The 13046-nt window shown below is 38.1% G+C and overlaps 1 protein-coding gene across 1 annotated transcript in view; it reads right to left on the bottom strand.

The window, feature by feature from the left end:
• Positions 1–4554: 4554 nt before the first annotated feature.
• Positions 4555–13046, bottom strand: part of TIGAR (TP53 induced glycolysis regulatory phosphatase) — a 38816-nt gene continuing 30324 nt past the window's right edge. The window contains exon 6 of the mRNA NM_020375.3: positions 4555–12323. Within this exon, the coding sequence (NP_065108.1) occupies positions 11892–12323 (432 nt within the window). The 3' untranslated portion in view covers positions 4555–11891. The remainder of the gene's footprint in view (positions 12324–13046) is intronic.

Below are 13046 nucleotides of genomic sequence, written 5' to 3'. Positions count from 1 at the left end.
TAAATATTTTTAAAAATTTAAAAAAGAAAAATAGCAGAGGCGATATCATGAAATTAAAAAGACAATAAGTGAACATTAAAAATAACTTTGTGACAATAAATTTGACAATTTCAATGAAAGATAAAGTACTTGAAAAATCTAAATTTATAAAAACTGACACAAGATGACACAGAAAATCTGAATACCTATTACAAAAGTTAAATTATCAAAAAATTCCCACAAACAAAATTCCAGATTCAGATAGTTTCAGTAGCAAATTCTACTAAACATTTCAGCCAATCCTACCCAAACTTTTCCAGAGCAGCATCACCTCTTAACCTGTTATATAATGACAAAACAACTTTGACTTCAAAACATGGCAAAGAAATGACAAAAAAAAAAACCCAACCAACTACAGATTAAAAACCTTTGCGAACATTAATACAAAAATATTTAACTAAATATAGCAAACCAAATTCAACAATATATAAAAATTTTAATAATACAAGTTGAGTTTATTCCAGGTAGTAAGAAAGATTGATTTAACATTTTAAAATGTAATTCAAGATATTAACAAAATAAAGAAGAAAGATAATATCAGTTCAATAAACACAGGAAAAAATTAGACAAAGTTTAGTATCTATTTATGATAAAAACTCTCAGCAAACTAGGAATGTAAGAGAACTTCCTCCACCTGATAAAATGCATCTATGAAAAACCTACAGCTAACATCATATCTTAAGACAGCTCACAACCTGATCTGAAATTAGGAATAAGCAAAAATGTTTTCTTTCATTATGGATTGAGTTTCCCTTTTCTGAAATGCTTGGGACCAAAAGCATTTTGAATTTTTTATTTTTTCAGATTTTATAAATACATAGAGATGTTCTTAGTGATGCGATCCAAGTCTAAACATGAAATTCATTTACGTTTCATATATTCCTTATACACTTACCCTGAAGGTAATTTTGCACAATATTTTGAATAATTTTGTTCATGAAACAAAGTCTGTATGCATTAAACCATCAGAAAGCAAAGGTATCACCGTCTCATGTCAGTGCTCAAAAAGTTTTGCATTTTGGAGCATTTAGGATTTCCAACTTTTGAATTAGGGATGCTCAACCTGTACTTTTATTTAATTCTGCTGGAGGTCTTAGGCAGTGCAATAAGGCAAGAAACAAATGGCATACAAATATAAAAACGTCTACTCTGAGAGGACATGATTGTCTATGTAGAAAGCCCTAGGGTATCCACAAAGCAATGACCAGAACTCAACTAAAGCTAAAAATAATATGCAAATTTAGCTACACACACACACACACACACACACACACACACACAAATTATATACCAGCAGCAAACACTGGAAAGTAAAATTTTAAATTAAAATGTAAAAATTCAATTTATAACAGGGTCATAAGCATAAAATAGGAACAAACGAAACCATAAAATAATTAGGGACAAATTTAATGTCAAACATAAATATTACACAACACTGATGAGAAAAATTCGTTGTATCGATACTGATTTGGAGGACTCAGTATGGTTAAAATGTCAATTATTCCACAAGTACGGTCTCAGCAGCCTTTTTAAAACAGAAATGAACAAGCTGACTTAAAAATGTATATGGAACAAAGTAATCTAACTATATTACATGTGTATAAAACAACCTCACTGGGGTGGTGGGGAAAGGTGCTGACTAACCTAAGTAATTTTGGAAATGAGTGAAGTCTGCAAGACTAAAGGCAAAAGGAACTGCACATAAGCGTTACATTGATGAATACAGATGGTCACATATAGAAATACTTATAGCTATGTATACATATGTGGATTAGTATACACACATATATTTCCTTGTTCTGTCAGCTGAGAGGGCCTAAAGAAACAATACCTTAATAGTAACCAGCACACCTAGCTCTCATCTTGGTTTTTAACATCATTCTCTAATAAAAGGAACCACGGTGCCTTGAAGAAATGGCTGGTTCTAGGAATGGGACATGAAATATGCAAGAGGAGCCTAGAGTGTCTAGTACTGACAGAAAGTACACCTGTGTTAAAACAACAGCAACAATAAAAACAAGCCAAGTTGATGGGGGTATTTCAAAGGAACACAAGAGCCAACTGAAAGAGCTCCAAATGGCTGAAGCTGGAGCAATTTGAGAAACAACAATAAAAAGTAGCATGGGATTATAACCCAAAGTATAAAATAACTATTCACAAGAACAAAATGATATAAATAAATGATTGAATAAATACATACATAAATAAGGTAATAAGAAAAAAAATCATCCATGAAGAATTCCAAATAACTTGTAGATACTCCCTCCTCAAAAAGAAGGATCATAAATCCCGACTCCTTGTGTGCACAGTGACTTCCTGACTTTCTTCCACAAGTACCGTATGGAAAGACAGAAAAAAAGAATAGCTTTACAACGGAGAAACCTGACAAACACTACTTTAGCCAAGTGATCAAGGTCAACATCAACAATCAAATGAAACAAGTCGTATTTATATCATCTACACTTGATATGATGTAATGAAAATGGAACTTTACAGGCCAGGCGCGGTGGCTCATGCCTGTAATCTCAGCACTTTGGGAGGCTGAGGCAGGTGGATCACATGAGGTCAGGAGTTCAAGACTAGCCTGACCAACACAGAGAAACCCCATCTCTACTAAAAATACAAAATTAGCCGGGTGGTGGCTCATGCCTGTAATCCCAGCAACTCAGGAGGCTGAAGCAGGAGAATCGCTTGAACCCGAGAGGCAGAAGAGTTGCGGTGAGCCGAGATCGTGCCACTGCACTCCAGCCTGGGCGACAAGAGCAAAACTCTGTCTCAAAAAAAAAAAAAAAAAAAAAAGAAAGAAAGAAAAGAAATAAAATGGAACTTTACTTTTCAATAACCCCAGTCTAATCATGAGAAAAATATCAAACAAATTCCAACAGACAGTCATCCTACAAAACGCCCGACTAGCACTTCTCAAACTCCCAGGGTCATTAAAAAAAAAACAAAGAAAGTCTGAGAAACTGTTACAGGCAAGAGGAGTCTAAGCACAGAAAGGCAAACACTGCATGATCTCGCTCATATGTGGGAGCTAACAAAGTTGATCCAATAGAAGGAGAGAGAACAGTGGTTACCAGGAGCTGGAAAGGGGAGGAGAACACGGACAGGGAGAGGCTGATTCATGGGCTCCAAATTATAGTGAGATAGAAGGAATAAGTTCTAGTGTTCTCTTGCACTGTATGGTGACTATGGTTAGCAATACTTCATTGCACATTTTCAAATAGCTAGAAAAGAGGATTTTGAATGTTCCCAACACAAAGAAATGAGCAACGTTTGAGGTGATGGATATGCCAATTACCCTAATTTGATCATTACATGTTGTATACATTTATCAAAACATCACTCTATACCCCATAAATATGTACAATTATGTGTCAATTTTTTAAAAAAGCAAGGGTAGTTGCACAACAGTGTGAATGGACTTAATGCCACGGAATTGTCTACTTAAAAATAGTTGATTTGGTAAATGCTGCTATGTATACTTTCCACATTAAAAAAGCAAGGGTAATGAAATGTATACACACACACACACACACAAGGAACCTAAGAAGACATGACAAGTAAGCATAATGTGGTATCCTGGATGGGATTCTGGAATAGAAACATGCCATTAGGTGAAAACTAAGGAAATCTGAATAAACTATGGGCTTTGGTTAATAATGTGTCAGTATCAATTCATTAACATAAGATGTTAATAACAGAGGACACTGGATGCAGGTGTATGGGAATTCTACATATTGTCTCAATTTTTCTATAAATCTAAAAACTGCTCTAAAAAGTATATTTTTAAAAAATTTATGTGGAAATACAAAGGACCTGCAATGAGCCAAAACAACAACCACCACCCTGAAAAAGAACAAGTACATAGGTGACTTATACACTGATTTCAAGACTTGCTATGAATGTAGAATAATCAGGACAGTGTGATATTTGCATATGGATAGACAAAAAGATAAATGGAATTAAATAAGGAGCCCAGCAATACACCAACACTTACACAATAAGTTGAATTATGACAAAAGAACCAAATAAATTCAAGGGAAAAGAAAAGTCTTTTCAACAAATGCTGCTAGAACAATTTGATATCCAGGTAAATAACCATAAGCCTGAACCTGCTACCTCATACCACACACAAAAATTCCAGATGGATCAAGACCTAAATATAAAACTTATAAATCACAAATCTTCTAGAAGAAAACAGAGTCTCCATGACCAGGGGATAGACAAAAATTTCTTTGACAAAAAAAAAGCAATAATCATAAAACAAACACAATGGTAAATCAGTCTTATGAAAATCAACAACTTAAAAAAATTGATAAATGGTAGAATAACATATTTTATAATAAATATACAGACTGGAATAAAATTATATATATGTAGATACATGTGTATATATACACACACACACACACACATACACACATACATACACACACACACATCTGACAAAGAACTTGTATACCCAAAACATATAAAGAACTCCTACAACTCAAAAATAAAAAGATGACACAATTTTTTAATGGATAAGATTTTAATACACATTTCACAAAGAAAGCTGTATGAATGATCAATAAGAATTGTACATTAAAAAGCATTCCATATCACCAGTTAAAATTGCAGGGATATACTACCATACAACAATCAGAATGGCTAAAATTTTAGAAACTGATAATAACAAATGTTGGCAAGGATGTGAAGCACCTAGAACTCATTGTTGATAAGCATGAAATGGTACAACCACCATGGAAAAAGATCTGGCAAGTGTCTTATAAAACTAAACATACACCAACATATAACCTATAACTCAGCAATTCCACTCCCAGATTATTTACCCAAGAGAAATGAAAACATACGTCCGCAAAAAGACTTGTAAAAATATTTATAGCAGCTTTATTCATAATAGCTCCAAACTAGAAATGGTCCTTGTGTTCCGTCAATGGAAGAATAAACAAACTGTTGTGTATCTATGCATTGGAATTCAATGCAGTAATTTTTTTAAAGGCACTATTAGCAATGAGCACCCTGGCACCGAGATCTTGGTTTCTAAATACCATGCACACCAGGCGTCTTTCATTTCATTTCCAAAGAACCAGGGCTCTTTAGAGAAAAAGCTGATTCTGGGGCTGGGGCTCGGGAAGAATGAGTCTGGAGCATATTGTTAATACCAGAAAGAAAGTACTTAAAGAAGGATGAGATTATGTCACCAGAACATAAGAGCCAGCCTGAAAGGGTTCCCACAGGACAAAGTTGGGACTGTGTAACCATAAAATAATAAGAGTACTGTATTATAAGCCCCTGAATAAGAACTTCTGAGCTCATACTGACATAAATAAGTAGGCAAGAAGGGTAAAGCTGTCTTAGTACAGAATGCCAACTAATAAACATAGAAGCAAAAGTAGAGTCATGGCGTGAGTTGGCTAAAGAAAAAAAAAACAGAGTCAGAAAATAAACAATAAAGGCTAAAAGAGTAGTTGCAAATTTAATGAGGAACCAGACATATTGATACAACGTCCTGTCCCTCCTGACATGACCAAGGACACATCCTTTCTGGGCTGCTTCTGACAAAAGTATACAATCCAAATCTAATAATGAGGATATGTCAGGAAAAAAAACCACAAGAACTCACCTATTTTTTAAAAAGTAACAAGATCAAGAAAGACAAAGTTCATCTGGTTAGATAGATGGTGGGAGAAAAAAAGAAGGGCAAAGGAAGGCAAAGGAGTAGACGGAAGGACATGAAGAAACATGACAACTAAATGCAACACAACACACAGTCCTGGATTGATTGGATTCTTGATTCAGAAAAAAAAAAAAAGCCACAGGTACATCAACAAAATAATTGACAGAATTTAAATTTGGTCTAAGGATTAGCTAATAGGCAATATCAATGTCAAATTTCCTGACTCAGATATTTATTCTGGGTTATATATAAGAACATTGTTGATCTCAGGAAACACACATTGAAATTTTATAGGGGAAGAGTATGAGGACTCAAAGTTACTCTCCAATGTTTCAGGGGAAAACAGAGGGAGAGAGAAAAAATGGCAAAGCAAGTGGGACAACAGGTAAGCAAGTGGTGAATAAGTGTGAAGAGTATACAGCCATTCCTTCTACTGTTCTTGCAACTTTTCTGTAGGTTTGATAAATCCAAGATAAAAGATTACCAAAACACACGCACATACACATTACTGTAATTATTCTCTATGAGGATACAGTAGCTCAGTGATTTTTCTTTTTCTTTTTTTTTTTTTTTGGAGACGCCCAGCTAATTTTTGTATTTTTAGTAAAGACAGGGTTTCACCATGTTGGCCAGGCTGGTCTTGAACTCCTGACCTCAGGTAATCCACCCACCTTGGCCTCCCAAAGTGCTGGGATTACAGGCCTGAGTCACCATGCACAGCCCATTATTTATCAAATGATTTTTTTTTTTTTTTTTTGAGACCCAGTCTTGCTCTGTCACCCAGGCTGCAGTGCAGTGGCGCGACCTTGGCTCACTGCAAGCTCCACCTCCCGGGTTCACGCCATTCTACTGCCTCAGCCTCCCAAGTAGCTGGGACTACAGGCGCCGGCCACCAGGCCTGGCTAATTTTTTCTATTTTTCAGTGGAGACGAGGTTTCACTGTGTTAGCCAGGATGGTCTCTATCTCCTGACCTCGTGATCTGCCCGCCTTGGCCTCCCAAAGTGCTGGGATTACAGGTGCGAGCCACCACGCCCAGCCACCTCAGCGATTGCTTGGTCACAAAATTACTAAGAACCAGGCCTTGAACCTGAATCCAGGCCTTCTGACAATAGATCTTTCCAGTGTCCCTGCCCTGTCACTTATCAATGAAGAAATCACCCCCTTAGGCCATATTGCTGAACAATGAACCAAGTGATTGAGAACTGTGGGGGGAAATCCTAAAGTTTTTAAAGCACTGGTAGTTACCTGTCATGACGACCTACTTAGCCATCTTGTTTGGACACAAAGGAACTGACACATACTTCAATCTGAAAGCTGTACTTCCAAATTGATGGGGCCCAAAGAAAGAGGGGTAAAAAGCAACATTTACATGAAACAAGGATGTTTTCTAGGAGCCCCATTCAATTTCCAAACTGGTAAGTGCTGCGTCTGATAGCAGGTACTCAGCCCAGCACCACCGCTCTACTGAATACTTCTTTCCTTTGCATCTCCTGTGTCTGTGCTTAACAGGGCTGATAATTATGCCAGGTGGATTCACCTAGGATGATCTATTTCAATTAAATTGTGACTGACCTTAATATAGTGAAGACATATAATAGAACCATTTAACTTACACGAATTCATCTACTTGTAAATGTAATATGCATGCAAGTATACATAATATAAGCATATGTACTTAAGTGATATGGCCAAATATTGCACTTCCTGCATAAGCCTAAGCCATGGAATGGGTGTGAGATGCACTGTTCTCTCAGGGATATCTTACTTTATGTGCTTCCCCTAATATGAGCATGTCCTTGCTGAGTATGACATAGCATTTAAAGAAATTAGAATAAAGATGCTAACTAAAACAGGTTTTTAGTTAAAAAGCAATAAAGGAGAATCCTCATCCAAAAATGGAAATGAATAGTAGGTGAGTGAGGAGTGGGAAGGACAGGAAAATAAGAGACAGGTGAATGGGAGCCATGGTTTCGACTCCAGGTGCAAGGGAGCCTAAGCGACAGGCTCTGCTTGAAGCTGCGAGCCTGGGGTGAAGCCTGGAACTGGAAACTTCTGCCCATTCCCTCTGCTAGGCCTCGGACTAAACCTAACAGAAACAGGCAAGACAAGGTGGGAAAGATGAGTACAGGGAACACAGAGGACTTTTAGGGCAGTGAAAATACTCTGCATGATACTATAATGGTGGAATACATGTCTTCATACGTTTGTCCAAACCCACAGATCATGCAACACCAAGAATGAACCCTAATGTAAACTATGGGTTTCAGGTGATGTGGATATGTCAGTGTAATGTGGGCTCACCGATGGTAACAGATGCACTGGTCTGGTGGGGGATGTTGATAGTAGGAGAAGCAATGCGTGTGTAGGGGCAGGGGATAGATGGGAAATCTCTCTACCTTCCTCTCACTTTTGCTGGGAAATTAAAGTTTCTCTTAAAAAATTAAGTCTCTTAAAAAATTCATTTGTTAAAAAACAATCAAAAACCGGGAAAATATTACAAATAAAATATCATTGCATAAAAGACTCAGGCAAAATGAGAGATCTATGACATTCACAGATGGGAGGATGAGAAATCCTAAGCTAACCTAGAAATTCAATGTCCAGGCTCCTTAGTTAGCCATTGGAGGCACTCTGGCCTGGTCCCTGCCAACATCCCTGGCCTTGCTTCTTCAAATGGCCCAACAGCCAGTGCTGCCATCTTCCCTGCCTCCAACCTTGTGCTCCTATAGCACCCCCTACAGCCTGCTCTCCACATTGCAAGCAGGATGGTCCTGCTGAAACAAGTCTGATCACATCACTGCCCAAACTGGCCAATGGCATCTCATCTCACTTGAGTAAAAGCCCAAGGCCTCAGCACAGGCCACCAGGCCATGTGGCCTGTCCTCTTCTCCCGTCACTCTCCCATCCCCCTTGCTCAAAGGAGTCAAGCCTGATCCTTCCTCATGGCCTCTGCACTCTACTCCTTCCATGCTGCTCCTCTCCCCAGAGCAGCAGATCTTACATCCTTCAGTGCTGACACCATCGAGTCCTCCCTGCCCATCCTGGATAAAGCAGCATTCCTCCCACCAGTCTCCATCCCCCTTACTCTGACCTATTTTGCTCAACAGCACTGACCACAATGTGAGCCAACACACTGTCTTCTCTGACAGAACAAATGTTCCACAAGGACAGAGACTTTGTTTTGGTTCATGGCTACATATTCACAGCTTTATCATAGTTGTAGTAGTTCTTAAAATAGCCTGGCATGTGTGTGCCATGCTCAAAAAATACGTATTGAATAGATGAAGAGATGCATGTGACTCCAATAAAATTTGTAACAGAATTTTTCTGGAAATTGACCAATTGATTCCAAAATTTATATGGAAGAATAAAAGTGCATAAATAGTTAAGACAACTTTAAAAATGAACAAGAGGAGGTATCCACCCTTTAAGACAGTCAGCTGCAAAGCCACAGTAACTAAGTATGACACTGATAAGGAAATACACAGATAACTAAAAGAGTCCACAGACTCTAGCAAATGAGGGGGTGTGAGGCCTGAGAGCACACACCACAAACCAATTGGGAAAGAACAGCCTTTACAATGGTGTTGGGATAACTGTTTCAACCACATGAAAAAAAAAATTAAATTCTTACCTTATACTATAAAAAGCAAATTTCAATTTCAAGATTTGACATTCAGAAGTTCTCAAAAACTGTAAGAAGACATTACTGTATGACCTCATGGTAGAGAAGTCTTCTTAAAGATACACACCAAAAAAACCCCATAAAGGATAAGGTATATTGGTTTGTCTTAAAAATTAAGAACACATATTAAAAAAATGCATCATAGGCCAGGCACGGTGGCTTATGCCTGCAATCCCAGCACTTTGGAAGGCCAAGGCAGGTGGATCACCTGAGGTCAGAAGTTCAAGACCAGCCTGGCCAACATGGCGAAACCCCGTCTCTACTAAAAAAAAAAAAAAGGCCAGGCGTGGTGGTGCATGCCTGTAGTCCCAGCTACTCAGGAGGCTGAGGCACAAGAATTGCTTGAACCCGAGAGGTGGAGGTTGCAGTGAGCCAAGATCACGCCATTGCACCCCAGCCTGGGCAACAGAGAGAGACTCTGTCTCCAAAAAAAAAAAAAAAGAAAAAAAGCAAAGAAAATAAAAACTGAATATACCTAAATGCCCACTAATAAACAAAAATGTGCTATATTTAATAGAATAGAGTGGTTATAATTAACTAGATCTATATATATCAACACAGAGATGCCTCCAAGACATAAGTAAAAATAAAGAACACAGATGGCTTGATATTTATTTTTAAAGCACCAAAACAGTACCATCTCCTTCCAGACACTAGGTGAAAATATAAGGAACAGATGAACATTGCAAGCAGATGAACAGGTGAACATATACACAGACTCACTGCAGTGGCTGCCTCTGGAGGGAACAGGACTGTGAGAGCTGGTTAAAGAGAACTCTACTTTTATCTTTATGTTTTGTTTCTTTAAAAAAAAAAGTGGAAAGATGACTTCAGTATGGTGGGAATGGAGATAATTATTGTCTGTCCTTTTTGCTTATTTTTCAAATTTTTATTTACAGTATACTTCCTCTGATGCTCAAACACGTGCCCTGTTTCAATACTGGTAGAAAACTGGTAGTGCTAGACACACTAAGAACAATATAATACTGAATTTTACATATGATTTAAAATGATGTCAAAGTAAATTTTGACTATATGTGACTATAGCCTTAACTGACAACTTTAGTATTAACCCTCTTTAAAGTTGAGACTCACAGCATTTAGCAACATGGTGACTTAAAAGCGAACTACATGTAGAACAGTTTCTTCATTTAGATAAAGATTTCTGAAAGACCAATCTTGTGTATAAAATTAAGTTAATCAAAATCCCTTTTCTCCAGTGCCATCTGGTGGAAAGAAGAGGCAACCTCACCTGTACCTGCCACAAAATAACCACAGCTGTGGTTATCAGAGCAACATTCTCTCCCCCCCAACCACCCCGCCTTCCCTGCCCGCAGAGCACCCTCTGTCATCCCCTCTGTCACCTAGGCTGGAGTGAAGTGGTGCGATCTCGGCTCACTGCAACCTCCACCTCCCGGGTTCAAGCGATTCTCCTGCCTCAACCTCCCAAGTAGCTGGGATTACAGGCGCCTGCTACCACGCCTGGCTTTTTTGTATTTGTAGTAGAGACAGGGTTTCACCATTGTTGGCCAGGCTGGTCTAGAATTCCTGACCTTGTGATCCGCCCGCCTCAGCCTCCCAAAGTGCTGGGATTACAGGTGTGAGCCACTGGGCCCGGCCCAGAGCACCATTCTTTACAAAGAAGGCCCCTCTTTTATTCTGATTACTGTGTGGTGTTCTGTTAACTGTTTACTTTCTTTAGAGCCTTCCTCAAACTGGAAATTCTTCAGCCTACAGGTTAGATAAGAAGCAAGTGGATATTCTTCATTTTTTTGGCTTTCCTGGTTTCCATTGACTTGACTTTGGCAAGGCATTATTTAGAAAAGGCTGTTCTTCTATCTTCTGCTCCAAGATTCTTTCTTTACTGTATTTAAATCAAATGTTTTAACTTCTTCCCCCAGACCATTCTGCAATCATAATCTGTATTCATCCACATTTCAAGCCCTCTAGAATAAAAAATTCCAATAGTTGATTTATACGTAAAACATGTTAGTGTTATTTTGCTTTACATAAACTTATAAGGATTTTTTATTTAAAGGATTTAAAAATATAACACAGTCAATATAAACATGTACTGGGAATTATAAACCATTCTTTCTTCTAAGCACTGGATGAGATACTAAAAACATACAGTATCTTACCAATAGCCATTAAAATAGGCTAAAATGAAAAAGAAACCGTTGTAACAAGGTTACTAATCCCCCAACTTTCAATGCTGAGTTCCTTCATCATCCATGTGCAATCCAGAGATGACATCTAGCAGGGTGGTAAAATTATTCTGGAAAATGCCAACTGTACTTGGACAAAATAAGTTAATTCTATATGGTTGTCCATTAAAGTTTTATGTGGCTATGGTTCCACTGGAGCTAAAAATTGGCTTTTAACTGTTTCCAAATCAGAACTAGCAGAGGAGAGAAGTAAATAAAGCCAATGGCACTCCCTTCAGAGGCTCAAAATGGTTAGATTTTGATGCAGATTTAACCTTAGCGAGTTTCAGTCAGTCCATTTAGATGATCCTGTAGGTTCATACAAATACACTGAACCGTTGGTTTAACTTCTCTTCCTTCCTCAAAGTTTATGATAAAGAGACTCATCCCTGTATTGGGAGTGACTGACATAAGTTCAGATCTGCTCAGAGTGGCTGGTAAGGAACACTTAAGGTCAGTCAGAAAATAATCAAACAGACTTCTCATGTAAGCACCGTGACTCACAACTAAGACACTGGCTGCTAATCCTGGAATACCGCTGTCTGAATTAACTTTAGAGCTGTGATTTTTTCCTAAAGGAAATATCTCTGCCAAAGAAGTTTCCAGACAGTTGCTTGGAGATCCTTGGGAAAACTGTTCTTTTTGATCCGCTTCTTTCAGGATTAGTTGACAAAGAAATTCAAAAAAGTCTATTCCACGCATTTTCACCTACAAGAAAAGAAATAAAAGTCAAAATAAAGTGACATTAATGACTTCCTTAAAACGTTAACATAGAACATAACTGACTGGATTTTTTTCTAATATTGAATGCCAAGTACTACACAAGCAGAAGAATATCAATCTACATTTCTATTCGTTCAATCAGTAGTTTCATGGACATATATAAGTATCCACCACATTTCTGGAATTACAAAAGCACCATGGAGACCAAGATGAAGAAGATCCAATTCCCAATTCCTGAGTTCAAAGCACTCACGGTCTAGTTAGGGAAATCTACAAGCCAACAGAAACTCATAAAACAGTGCTAACCAGGAAGCTGTCTCTGGCACTTCAGTGCCACTGGAACAACAGCAGCAACAAATCCTTCCCTTACTAAAGTAATGGAAAGTATTTTCAAGAAAATTAAGATAAAGATTAAGGAGGTGGTGGTGGGTTAGGGGGAATCACCAATATGCAATTCGAAGCAGAACACTCCAAAGAAATGCAAGCACAGGGATGCCACCATGAACAGAGCTGAGGAGGCAGCAGAGGCTTGAAGACTTCATGTTTTGAGTTATTTCACCTCGAGTGACTTGCCGATCACCCTCTTTGAACTCCACTCCCACCACTAAGCCACTGCTTCATATTCAAAGGTCTTTTTTAGAAGTACCATCTAATAACACCTTTCCTTAAGTCCATTATCAATAATGACAAAGGCAACTGAACAGTAAA

This window comes from Homo sapiens, chromosome 12, assembly GCF_000001405.40.
Source record: "Homo sapiens chromosome 12, GRCh38.p14 Primary Assembly".
NCBI lineage: Eukaryota > Metazoa > Chordata > Mammalia > Primates > Hominidae > Homo > Homo sapiens.
This window is presented reverse-complemented; position numbering and strand designations above follow the sequence as displayed.